This window comes from Homo sapiens, chromosome 10 (assembly GCF_000001405.40).
Source record: "Homo sapiens chromosome 10, GRCh38.p14 Primary Assembly".
Lineage (NCBI taxonomy): Eukaryota > Metazoa > Chordata > Mammalia > Primates > Hominidae > Homo > Homo sapiens.
The window spans coordinates 79,204,665-79,217,839 of NC_000010.11; the positions used below are offsets into that span (position 1 = coordinate 79,204,665).

Sequence of the window (13,175 nt, forward strand, 5' to 3'; positions counted from 1 at the left end):
AGCTCAGAGTGGGGCCCAGCTATTTTAGGTGGGCTGAGGAGAGGGGTGGACTGATAGATGGATACATAAGAGAATGGATGGATGGACATATGGGCAGATAGTTAGATGGGTGGGTGGGTGGACGTGTATAGATGATGAATGGATAAATAGATGAATGAACAGATAGGTGGGTGACTGGATAAATTAACTTCTGGATGAATGGGTAGATAGGTAGATGAATGAAGGGATGGATGAGTGGTGGATAAAGTGGTGAATGGATGAATGGGTGGGCTGGCAAGGAGACAGATGGATGAATTGATTCATTTAGGATGGATGGATGGATGGATGGATGGATACACGCATAGATGGATGAATGGATGAATCACTTGATTCACAGATGGACTGGTGGACAGATGGATTGATAAGATGAATTCATCATTTCAAGGCATTGGTGTGCCCTGTTCCTGCCCCAGCAGACTCAATGGCATTGGATATAGCCCAACTCTTCTGAGGAATTATAGAGATGGGCAGGCTTTCTGATGGGGGACAGAGTACTAGTGTCCAGTAACAGCCATAATTAGGGAGGCCTCTGCCTATGATTCAAACATGTGCTCCCATCCCCAGCCCATCAACGGCTGGCCAAGCTCACCCCTGCCCTGCCCTGGCCCCTCCCTCCACCTCCCACTGGGGCTCATTCTGCAGTGGCCATGTTGCTGGCCTACACAGCAGGCTCACCATCCTTTGGACAGTTAACTGCTCCCCAATCATTTCCCATGGGGTTCAGCCTTGTGCCAGCCTTTGGGGTTCCAGAGGTGAACAGGAGGCTGTTTCTCCCCTCAGGAGGCTCAAAAGAGAAACAGAGAACCGTGGAGGGGCCCTGGCATCAACAGCAGTAGCAGTCTTTCCCTGGGCTCCTGCTCTGTAATGAGTTCCTTGTCGTTTCTCAACTTTGCGGCAGCCCTGAATGCCATCACTACCCCGTTTCACAGATGAGGGTCTGATGTGCAGCAATGTCTCCTGGGCTGCATGGCTCAGCAGCTGAGACGGGGTTTGGACCATGTCTGTTCTGCTTATCTCACTAGATCACTTTGTCTCTCTGTGCACTTCAGTCACCTCTTGGTTGAAATAGGTGACAAGGGCACAGAGAGGGGAGGGGGCTTGACCAAGGCCAAAGAGCTGCACAGTAGCCATCATTGTATTCCCAGCACTTTGGGAGACGGTGGTAGGAGGACTGCTTGAGCTCAGGAGTTTAAGACCAGCCTGGGCAACATAGCAAGACGTCGTCTCTGTTAAAAATTAACAACAACAACAAAAAGTAGCCAGGCATGGTGGTGCACACCAGTAATCCAAGCTACTTGGGAAGCTGAAGTGGGAGGATCACTTGAGCCCAGGAGATTGAAGCTGCAGTGAGCTATGATCGCACCACTACCCCCCAGCCTGGGTGACAGAATGAGACCCTGTCCAAAAAAAAAAAAAAGCCAGCAAAGGGGACACTTGATGTTTTCTTCAGCAATGAGGTGTACCCACAGCCTACAGGCCACACAAGCTGTCTGGGGTGAGCTCTGAACGCTGGTGAGATACTGAAGGCTGGGCACTCGGGTGCCAGAACCAGACTGGGCCTCTGAGATGGACCTCAGAGGCTACCCCTGCACCCAGAGCCCCAAAGTGGGGTGCTGTGACCAGCTGGGGGCAGGCAGCTCTGAGGCAGCATGCAGTGGCTCCTGCCCCTGCTAATTTGGTGTGACATCACTGAAATAAACAGAACAACTCGGTTAGCAGGGGTGGCTGGTGGGCAGGAATCAGCTGATTTGCATGGCTTTCCACGTGCAGCCTAGATACCACCTGTGGCCTCTGAGGGGCATGCTTTAGAGAAAGGGCACAGGAGGCAGAGGTGAGGACCCGCCGCTGCCCTCTCAAAGGGCTTGTTTCTGTATGTTGAAATTACTCCTGTCTCACACAATTCAAATGCAGGGAGCACTGCCTTTGCAGAAGGAGCCAGGGCTGAGAGCGGCCACATGCAGCTGTACTTCCAGGAGAGCCTTTGGGAGACAGAGTCAGGGCCAAGGGCAGCCCCACATGGGAGCACCCCACGCGCCAGGCACTTTGCCAGGGGCTGTATAAGCCTCATCTTGTTTAAGCCTCACTGCGGCCCCGTGATGGAGGGCTTTGTTGCTGCTTGCCTGCCCTCTTTCTCTCCTACATCTCTTTCTCTCCCTTTACTTCCATGGAAGGAGGACATTCTCCTTCATTTCACTTTCCTCCACCCATTTTTAAATACCTTGCCTCGCATGAACTACATTGTAGCAACAGTCACGGAACCTTAAGCGAAAGAAATAAAACCCCACCACCAAGTCATGTTCTGTCATATCCCCATTTTACAGATGAGGCTACTGAGGCTCAGGGAGCTGAGGGGACCATCCTACGTCAGTGGTTGAAAGTGGGTGAAGGCAGAGTGTGGATTCCCGTAGCTCCCCTGCCAATTCTGGGCCCTGCGGCTCCTAGGCCCCTCCCTGCCCTGGCGCTGGGGCAGGCTCATGCTGCAGGTCGAATGGAGGGACTGCCCTGGGTGGCTCCTGTTCTGTTGTTTCTCCCAGTACCAAGGCAATGGGACCTCAGGAGGTGCCATCATCTCTGCAGTGGTTCACACTCCTGTGCTGTGGACACCCTCCAGGGGTCCTTCAGGAGGACACAGTCAGTTACAGCCAAATTGGGCCAGAGCCCCATCCCAGAATCTCACCTTTGCCCCTAATCTGCTCCTTGCTCCTAGCCACATCTTTTGTCTCCTGGACTCAGTACCCAACTCAGAGGGCCTGAGGAGACGGATAAGAGTGAAGGGGGGCATGGGAACCACCCCTTTGCTTTGCACCTCACCCACCCCACCAGCCCTGCAGCCTGGGCCTGAAGCGGAACCAGGAGGCCCAGCACCCTGGCACCAGAATTCAGTCTCCATCGACTCAGACTCTGCCTGGCAGGGGCCTGAGCTCAGGCTGACTTCCCCAACCATGCCAGCAGCCTCTGAGCGGACCCAGGCAGGGCCCAGTACGTCACACACAGCAGCCCCTAGTGTGAGGACAGTACAGGCACGTGTGCTTCCTTCACCCTCCCAGCTGGCTGTGGCCTCCCCCAACCCATCACCTTATGTGGCTAGGGCAGAGCAGGCTCCAAAGCCAGAGCTGGTGGGAGCCCAGTCCTGGGCTTTGATGGCGGTGGCTGGGCAGTCAGGAAGGAATCTCCAGGGCCAACCTGTCCTGGATCAGGGAGGGAGAACTCCCGGAACCCTGCAGGGATCACCTTCCGCCACCCCCACCAGCATCCAGAAAGCACTCTGCTATTAGTCACCAGCCTTCTCTAGACCTTGGTTTTCCTGTCTTTGCAATGGGGCTACTAATCCACTGGGGTGGGGATGGGGGTAGAGGTGGAGGTGAGGGTGGGGGTGGAGGTGGTGGGGGTGGAGTGGAGGTGGATCGGGGAGGTGGGGTGGAGGTGGGGGTGGGGGGGGGTGGGAGCAGGCATGCCGAGCACAGGGTGTGAAATCGAGCATGAGGAAACTTACTGATCCCAGCTACCCCTTTACCCCTTTCTGTGAACCTCCTCCCCAGTGAGGCTGGGTTCTTCCCACCCCAGACCCCCACACGCTGCCTGTGCTACCCTCACTCTTGGAGCCTCAGCCGCCTCCTTTTCCTTTCCCACAGCACTTACAGAATCCTGCCAACTTCCACAATGCCGCCACGGAGCTGCTGGACTGGTGCGGAGACCCACGGGCCTTCCAGCGGCCCTTCGAGCAGAGCCTGATGGGCTGTTTGACGGTGAGTCTGCACCCTGTCCGCCTGCATTCCTGCCCAGGAAGGTCAGCTGAGTGCTAGCGTGCCTGTCCAGGTTTCAGAGAGGTTGTCAGACATTGGGAGGTGACACCAGTGAGAGAGCTGGGAAGACACTGGTGCTGGGGGGATGGCCCTATTTGGTGTGTCCCCCACGTGCACACCCTCAGGGGACCTGGAGTTGATGAGGAGGCACAGTCCCTAGGGATTGTGTGGGTTCCCACACTTGATGAGAAAGACGCAGTGTTCACTTTGCAGGTCACTGTTCCATCATAAGCACAGTAGAGAAACTCTCAAAGGGTTTTCAGCCATTTTTTATCCAGTCATTCATTCATTCATTCACTTAGCAAACATGTATGGAGCTTCTTTTGTCATCATCCATCCATTCAGGTAAGCATTGATTGAGCCCCTCTTACATCCATCCGTCTAACCAAATGAGCATTGATCTCTCATTGATCATGTATGATCCCTCTGCTAAGTCCAGGGAAACTGAAGATGAATAAGGCTTCACCGAGCCTGGTTTCCTCTGTAGCGGAGGAGGCAGATGTGTAAAGAAGTGACTGAGAAAATCATGTCCACAGTGAAGGCAGCACAGGGAAGGGAATCCTGAACTGGCTGGGTGGCGGGGCAGGGTGCATAAAACTGAGGAAAGGAGCTACCCTCCATGGGCAGGAGTCTGCAAAGCAGCAGAGGGGCAGGAGTGCTCGGGGCACAAGCAGCAGAGGGGGCAGGAGTGCTCGGGGCACAAGCAGCAGAGGGGGCAGGAGTGCTTGGGGCACATGGAACAGCATCTGCAAAAGGCCACACACCCGATGGAACCCAGAGAACAGGAAGGGTCGAGGCTGCAAGCTGGGCAGAGGCCAGGTCCAGAGTTTGTGGTATGATCGGCCAGGCTAAGGAGCTTGCCAGCCAACAGGGCCCCATGGAAGTCACTCGAAGCTTGAGAATGTCCCCAGCCATGTGGCCTGTGTCCATATGTGTGATGACCAGGGAGGGCAGCTGCTCAGAAGGCCCTGAGTCCACTTTGAAAGGAATGTGGGTAAACAGATGGCAGGGGAGCCCGCCTATCCTGAGGCTGGGAGAGGATGTCTGGCCAGGCGGGAACAGCGGGCATGGCCCACGGGCACCAGGCTTCCTGAAAAGCTGGAAGGAGACAAAAGGCCCACATGGCCTTGGCCTGGAGAGGAAGAAATAGCGGCAACACGGCTATCGTGACAAAGCATCTGTTCTGTGCCTGGCAGGGAGCCGGCCCACAGAATACACCATCCCACCAAATCCCCTCAGTGAGCTTGGCCTGCAACCCTCCCCCACATTTTACAGAGGAGGAAACTGAGACTTTTAACTGACTTCCCAAGGGCGCACAGCCTTAGAGGTGGGCCTGGGATTACAGCCGAGGCCTGCCTGTCTTCAGAGGGGATGCCCTTGGCCATTAGGGATGCCAGACAGGGATGCAGCCAGGACCCTCCTGGGGCTGCTCAGCTTGTCAGAAGCCAGCACCATCTGGCTCCCTCAGGCCACCGGGCCAAATCGAGCAGCCACCTGCACTGCCCAGTCTTCCTCATCCTTCAGCCCATGGGATCCCCTTCTCCCTCCGCCCCCCCAGCCCCCTAATCCTCTTTGTGGGGATCTGGTTCCAGGCTAAGCCATGTGGGCAGGGACAGATGTTGCCAGAGGCTCCCTCACTTCTACCCCAGCAGAGGATGGAGGAGGTGGGAACCTTGTGTGACGTGTGTCCAGCCAGGCTGCCACAGTCTCCAGCACATTGCCCCGAGCCTGACCCTGTCTATCTAGGATGTGGGGACTTGAGACTGAATCAGAGAGTGGCCCTCACCGGCCTGGATGGACCAGGAACTGGCTCTGCCTCGGTCCTCTTGTCCATGCGTTCATTCATGAACATTCACTGGGCTCTTGTTGGGGGACAGGCCCTGTGCTGGGCCCCAGAGGGACCATTGTCAAGGGGCTGGCCTGCCAGGGGGAGCCTGACATTGAACCCACAAAGGAGCAAACAGGGACATATGCCAGAGCTCTGGGAGAAGGGGCAAGGGTACAGGGCAGGAAATGTCTCCTGAGGAGTTGACCTCCTTGGGAGGATGAGAGAGCAGGGTGCTCCAGGCAGAGGGAACTGCTAATGCAAAGGCCCTGAGGCTTGCTGTGTTCATGAACAGAAAGAAGGCTCAGGTGGCTGGAGCCCAGGGAAGGGAGAAGCATGTGAGATGAGGCAGAGGAAGGAGGTGTAAAGCAGCTAACACAGGGCCCACAGGCCAAGCGAAAGTCTGGGCATTATTTGGAGGGCAATGGGGAGCCCTTGAAGGGTTGTCAGCAGGAGAGTGATGGGCTATGATTTGTATGGGGGCAGGAGCTCTGAAGGGAGCATCTTTTGAGGGCAGGATGGAGGGATCATGGAGGGCTTCCTGGAGGAGGGAGCCCAGAGAGGGCCTCATGAGATCTGGCTGGACAGAGAGGAATCCATGGCAGGAGAGGCTGCATAGACAGTGCCCACTCTCCTGGGCCTCTGTTCCCTGCCTCCAGTGTAAGGCATGTACCTAGTGGAATGGCCCCCACTCCTGCAGCCTGGCCACAGCTGCAGAGACCTGAGTCTAGCTTCCCTTAGAGCTCAGTAGAGCCAGCAGCTTGAAGGGGCTTGGTGGCGGGTAGTGGGGATTGTCATAAACGACACTTCAGTGCTCAGGGTATTTTCCCTAGCCACTGTCTCTTTGGATCCTTGTAAAGACCCTTTGAGGTGGGCAGGGAGTCACCACTCCCATTTTACAAACAAGGCCACTGGGAGCAGGAGCAGCTTACCCTAGTCCCAGGCTGGTCCCACAGACTCCCTGGGAGCCTCTGGGCCCTGTTGCCGGTGCCCCTGTTCCCCAGGCATCCTCAGCCCCAGCCCTGCCCCATGGAGAAGAACGGAATGTGGGAGGTAGGTCCCAAGGGACCTAGGTGGGGCAAGACAGCTGTCCCCTCCCCACACAAACGCACACACACCCTCCCTATCCAGGTGTCAGCCTGAGCCCTCCAGGTTGCTGCAATCCCCGGGGTGACCTCTGGAAGCAAACTCCAAATTCCTCTGGATCCGGCTTACTTTGAGGATATAAATTAAAAATCACTTAGCCCCGAGCAGCAAATGGACACATTTCTGTCATACTCACTTCTAAGCAGCTCAGGCACAATTAAAGTGACCCCAGACCTGGCCCTGCCATCCCGTCTGCTTCACATCTTGAGACTTAAGGATGCGGAAGCACAGGACCCCCAGGCCCTGCCCCAGGGGCCGGCACAAGCCCCGGGCCACCACTTCCTCATCAGAAGCAGGCCCTTCCTCCTCCAGTAGTCGGGCAGAGCAGCCCCTCTGGGCGCCCTCTCCCTCCCGTGGGCTTAGGGAACGGCGGAAGACAGAGGAGACAGTGGGAGAGCAGGTCCAGGAGGGAACCGGGTTTCACATCAGCAGGCCTCTCCTTCATCTCCCCAATGAGGACGCCCTGCAGCTTCAGAGGAGGTCAGAGTCAGAAAGACTTTTCGGGTCCCGCCCCCTGCCAGTAATGGAGACCCCTTCTCCAGCATTCCCTAGACAGCCTGTCCTCCTGTTTTGTGACCAGCAGGCTGGACGCTTTTCAAGACAACTCAGTTGCTTTGTGGGACTAATGTAATTCACCACGTGACCTTAAGCAAGTCACCCGTCTTCTTCTTTTTTTTTTTAATTTTTTTTAAATTTTAGAGACAGTGTCTTGCTCTGTCGTCCAGGCTGGAATGCAGTGGCACGATCATTGCTCACTGCAGCCTTGACCTCCTGGGCTTAAGCGATCCTCCTGCCTCAGCCTCCTGGGTAACTGGGACTACAGGCACCTGCCACCATGCCAGGCCAATTTTTAAATTTTTTTTTAATTTTTTTCTTAAAGGTGGGGCCTTGCTATGTTGCCCAGGATGGTCTCAAACTCCTGGGTTCAAATGATCCTCCCACCTCAGCCTCCTAAGTACCTAGGTACCACTGGCCTACACCATCACACCAGATTAAAAAATTTTTTGCACAGATGGGGCTGGGCATGGTGGCTCATGCCTATAATCCCAAGCACACCTGAGGTCAGGAGTTAAAGACCAGCCTAGCCAACATGGTGAAACCCTGTCTCTACTAAAAGTACAAAAGAAAATTAGCTGGACGTGGTGGCACACGCCTGTAATCCCAGCTACTCGGGTAGCTGAGGTAGGAGAATTCCTTGAACTCAGGAGGCGGAGGTTGCACTGAGCTGAAATCGTGCCATTGCACTGCAGCCTGGGCAACAGAGCGGGACTCTGTCTCAAAAAAAAAAAAAAGAAAAAAAAAATTTGTGTACAGATGAGATCTTGCTATGTTTGCCAGGCTGGTCTTGAACTCTTGGGTGTAAGCTATCCTGCCTCAGCCTCCCAAAGTGCTGGGATTACAGGTGTGAGCCACCATACCCAGTCAAGTTCTCCGTCTTGTGTCTGGACTTTAGTTTCCCTGTCTGTGGCGTGAGGCTGGGTTCCCTGACCTGTGAGGTCCCCTGGCTCTAGGGGTCTAGGTGTCTGGCAGCCAGGATGACAGGGCAGCCTCAGGAGTGCTTCCCCCTGCCACCCCCACCCCGCCACCGTGGGTCAAGCAGCAGTACCTGGACAGCCAACAGAGGGTCACAGCGCCCCAGCCACTCACACTGGCCTTTATGGGGAGGGGGCCTTGCACCCTATAGGACCTTCACAGAGAGCATCATGACCACTGGGGTGAGAATGGGCCTCTCTGAAAAACAAGCTGCACAGCTGAGCCCACGCTCCCACCACTGTCAGTCAGACCTTGCCTCACAGAACTTTCTGGGGGTCCTCAGGCTGGGCCAGAGGAACCCAGGGGATAGGAATGCATGAGGCACTCTAGGGTTACAGGATTTGATTCAGCTCACTCTGCCATACCTGTGCTCTGTGGCCTTGAGCACGGTCCTGCCCTCTCTGGGCCTTGACTTCCTCATCAGTGAAAGGAGGCTATTGGAGCCAGTGACCCTTCTGAATGCTGGGGCACAGGGGACTTGGTGACAAGCAGAGACTCCCTGCTCCAGCACCCACCCGGCTGGCCCTTAGAGCCGCCATACAGCACCAAGCCCCTCTAGCTCAAGTTAGCTAGTATTTTTTCCTTTTTAACTAGAGCAACAGGATTAGCCAGTATTGGCCAAACATGGGGACTTTTGCCTTCCTGCCCTGAACCCAGGGCCTGAGGGTCCTCAGTGCAGGTTGGAAGTTATGGCGTTAACCCTTTGTGGACTGAGAAAGAAGTCTTAGCACAGAAAGAGCCCAGAGTTTTCAGCTAGACTGCCTGGATCACATCCTGTCTCTGTCACTGACCAGCTTTGAGGTGTTGTTCAACCTCTTTCCTCATCTGTAAATCAGAGATAATAATAATAATACCTATCTCGTGGAGCTGCTGAAAGAATTTGCACTTTGTTGCATACAAAGCACCTATGTACGTGGGAGCCAGCATTTTCACTGCAGCACTTGTAAGCATCAGTGTTTCCCATTGACAGCAGCCTCACTACTGCACCAGTCGAAACAGGCCGCTCTGTGCTCACAGGCATCCACCTGAAGTTCTACAAAGAGGGAGGGCACCAGAGTCCACGTATGAGCTGCAGTGGTCCCTCCAGCCCAGAATCTTCCTCCTCACTCTCTGGAGGAGAGTCTGCCTGCAGACTTGAAATATTCAACAGGCCATAAAGAGTTAGGGACCTTGGTTTTTCTATGTGGACAGTGAGACTTATGGTGAGGATGTCCCAGAGACTGGGACATGTAGAGGGGCAAACAGAGCCCGTGGGAAAGAGGCCTAAGGAGTGTGGAAGACTTCTGTGCCAGGGGCTTCTGTTTGCAGCAGAGACGTTGAGCAAGCATCCTAACCTAACAACATCCTTTTTCCTCCCAACCTGGCTCAAACATTAGCCCTACACAGAGGGGCGCAGGGAGGGCCACAGTCCCATTCCAAGAGTCACTGGTGATCCTGGGAAGGGGAACCCATTGGCTCCTCCCTGATTTAGCACGGGACATTTCTCTGAGTCTCCAGTGTTGTTTTAAATTGGCCTAGGTAAGTGGTGTTCCCAGCCCTTTTAGCCCCAGAGCCCCTTTCACAAATTCCTGAGATTTAAGGCAGGCGTGGGGAACGATTCTGTTGGATCTAGGGGCCAGGCCAAACCCCATGGCAGTCTGAGGCCCCTCCAGGCGCCTCTGGAGCAGGTGGTTCCTGGGGGCTTGGCAGCAGAGTCCCCCCTTTTTCAGAAGTACCAGCCTACCACATCTGGGTGCTCTCCCTACTCAGCCATAGCCACTCCAGCTGCTTTCTAAATGACTCCATTTTCCAAGGTCCTTCTTAATAAAGAAAGCTAATTTTGCTGCTGTTCATGAGGAAGGCGGGTGTGAGGGAGCAGATCTGGGAGTCATGGGACACCTGGGAATGGGTGGGGACAGAGTGAAGCCAGAGCGGCAACAGCTTGCAAAGCCACCCAAGGGTCCCCTGGAGCGCCCCGTCCCACACTGCCCCCCAGGGGACCGATGGCCCTCCCAGTCTGCCGCCTCTCACCCTGCCAGTCCCTACTTCTGAGATTTTAAGGAGATGGGTGGGACCTTCAGGCTCCAAACACACCATTGCTGTTATGGAAGCCCCCCATTTGCTGGGGCTTAAGGCTAGAGACAGACCCCAGGCTGAGCGTGGGAGTCCTGCGGTTTCTAGCTGAGGTTGAGGGGGCTGCAGGGTGCTTGGCACGGAGCAGCATTACAATGCCTGCCCCATCCCGGAAGCCTTAGTCGATTAAGCAGCTCTGACCTGAAGCCCTGTGGGAAGCAGCTTGTTCTAAATCACCGCTTTTTTTTTTTTTTTGAGAAGGAGTCTTGCTGTTCTGCCCAGGCTGGAGTGCAGTGGTGCGATCTAGGCCCACTGCAACTTCCCCATCCCAGGTCCAAGCGATTCTTCTGCCTCAGCCTCCAGAATTGCTGGGATTACAGGCGCCTGCCACACACTCGGCTAATTTTTGTATTTTTAGGAGAGACGGGGTTTCACCATGTTGCCCAGGCTGGTCTCGAACTCTTGACCTCAAGTGATCCACCTGCCTCAGCCTCCCAAAGTGCTGGGATTATAGGTGTGAGCCACCACACCTGGCCTAAATCACTGCTTTAGATGAGATGCATGCTGACTCGGAGGGGCAGGGCTGGGCCTAAGAGTCTGCATTTGTAACAGGCCCCCCTGTGGTGCTGATAGCCCTGGAGTAGGAAGGGCAGTGAGCCCTCCCCAGTAGTGGGTGCAGGAGCTCAGTGAGGGGTGGGGGAGTTCCTGAGGGCCCAGGGCATGGAAGGGAGATGGAAGAGCCACACAGATGGAGCAGAGACCCTTAGGGCCCACCCTAAGGATGGTGGTACAGGATCCCCAGCCGACTTCTAAAATGTGGTCGAATCTGAGCCCTTGGAAGCGGCGGGGCCTATGGCTTTGGTGTTGGACCCATCGTCAGCCTGGGAAACCCCTAAGGACGGGGCCAGGATCCCAGGGCCTGGCACGGAAGAGGTGTTCATCAGTATTTGCTGAGCAACTGAAGAAGGCACAGTGGACTTCTGGCTCTGCCTAATGATGGGGCACTGCCTTAGCTTGCCCACCTCACCCACTTCACCTGCAAAATGGGCATATCCATTGGCTCTGGGCTCCGTGACTCACCTGCCCTCCTCCCCTCTTGCTTTCAGGTGGTCAGTCGGGTGGCAGCCCAGCAAGGCTTTGACCTGGACCTCGGCTACAGACTGCTGGCTGTGTGTGCTGCAAACCGAGACAAGTTCACCCCGAAGTCTGCCGGTAGGTGTCCGTGGGGGACTCTGCGATGTCACTGGGAGGTGGGGAGGGGAACTGACTATAAACCATGCCTGTTTGCTGCCCCTGCCTTCTGGTGCCTCCATTTGTCTAGGTGTAGTGCGAACCCCTGAGGAAGAGCAACTCATCCACCAGGCTCTGGGACCCACAGTTGGGGCTGTCCTCGTGCCTCTCCCAGGGAGTATACTTGCCTCAGGGGTACTGCAGGGCCAGAGAGGCTCCCGAGGCACACCAAACCCAGCAGTAGGCACTGTGCTACAGGCAGGACCAGCATCAGCTCACTCCATCACCACGGTGACCCCTTGGCATAAGCACTGTGAGCTCCCCATTTTACACATGAGGAAACTGAGGCTCACAAACACAGAGGAGATTTCCCAAGGCCACACAGCTGGAAGGCAGCAGAGCAGGGATTTAAGCCTAGGCCTGTACTTCAGAGTCAGCATTCTTAACCTTTATACTCCACTACGTTCATTCATTCCCCAAAAATTGTTTAAAATGAAACACAAAAGTCGAAACAAAATGAATCAGTACACTCAGGGTTCCGTATTGCAACTTTGTCATCACCTGCGGTCTCCTGACCTTGCAGTAAGCAGGGGCCATGGAGAGTGCCAAGCAGCATTCTGTCTGGGAGGGCTTTGAGCACTTTAAAGATACAGTTTTATTTTACATTTCCCACCATCCTCATAACCTGGCTTAGGCCACAGGCACCCTGCTAGCTTTAAGCCGGACAGACCTGTCACTTGCTAAGTGTGTGGTCTCTGAGCCTCAGCTGATCTTTCTGGGAAGGCAGGAATGGTAAGGAGACTCCTGACTTCAGGGGTCATTGTAAGTGCTAGAAATACATAAAGTGCAGGCCGGGCGCGGTGGCTCACGCCTGTAATCCCAGCACTTTGGGAGGCCGAGGCGAGCAGATCACGAGGTCAGGAGATCGAGACCATCCTGGCTAACACGGTGAAACCCCGTCTCTACTAAAAATACAAAAAAAATTAGCCGGGTGTGGTGGCGGGCGCCTGTAGTCCCAGCTACTCAGGAGGTTGAGGCAGGAGAATGGCGTGAACCCAGGAGGCGGGGCTTGCAGTGAACCGAGATCGCGCCACTGCACTCCAGCCTGGGTGACAGAGGGAGACTCCGTCTCAAAAAAAAAGAAAGAAAGAAATACATAAAGTACCTAGCACCGTGTCTGGATATTGTTAACATTCCTTATGGAGTCAGGACAAGCAGTTGAAAAAGAAAAAAAGAAACAGTTATTTCCCTTGTATAACAATAAAATGGACGTTTTCACTGAATTCATCAGTCAGTTCTTTGGAGTGTATATAGACACAGCCTTCATGAAAACGTTGTAAGGACATCTCATGATGTGTTTCCATAAATCTGCTCAATTTATAATCTCTTGCGTGTGAGTTTGCGCCTCTTTCCATGTATGTTTCCAGTCTGCACACATGGATGGCGCTGCACACATAGATGTGTGGTGGCCTCATTAGCCAGTAGCTACTCTGAGACCCTGGACATGCCCGCCTGCATTGGGATATTGCTATCGTATTGAACTGCTT

At 54.8% G+C, this 13,175-nt stretch overlaps 1 protein-coding gene across 11 annotated transcripts in view, besides 2 other annotated features; it reads left to right on the top strand.

Moving 5' to 3' along the window:
• ZMIZ1 (zinc finger MIZ-type containing 1) overlaps positions 1 to 13,175 on the top strand; it is a 247,554-nt gene that overhangs the window by 135,699 nt on the left and 98,680 nt on the right. For all 11 annotated transcript variants that reach the window (XM_047425538.1, XM_047425539.1, XM_005269988.4 and 8 more), the window contains 2 exons: positions 3,672 to 3,785; positions 11,505 to 11,610. In XM_047425538.1, coding sequence (XP_047281494.1) covers positions 3,672 to 3,785; positions 11,505 to 11,610 — 220 coding nt within the window. The remainder of the gene's footprint in view (positions 1 to 3,671; positions 3,786 to 11,504; positions 11,611 to 13,175) is intronic.
• Positions 1,636 to 1,685: an enhancer, noted in NCBI's record as "active region_3629". NCBI's record gives its function as "activates an Ori minimal core promoter by ATAC-STARR-seq in GM12878 lymphoblastoid cells {active_cell/tissue: GM12878}" and the evidence as "EXISTENCE:reporter gene assay evidence [ECO:0000049][PMID:35858748]".
• Positions 4,960 to 5,834: an enhancer, noted in NCBI's record as "H3K4me1 hESC enhancer chr10:80969381-80970255 (GRCh37/hg19 assembly coordinates)". NCBI's record gives its function as "activates a minimal SCP1, AML or CMV promoter by ChIP-STARR-seq in primed H9 embryonic stem cells {active_cell/tissue: H9 hESC(primed)}" and the evidence as "EXISTENCE:reporter gene assay evidence [ECO:0000049][PMID:30033119]".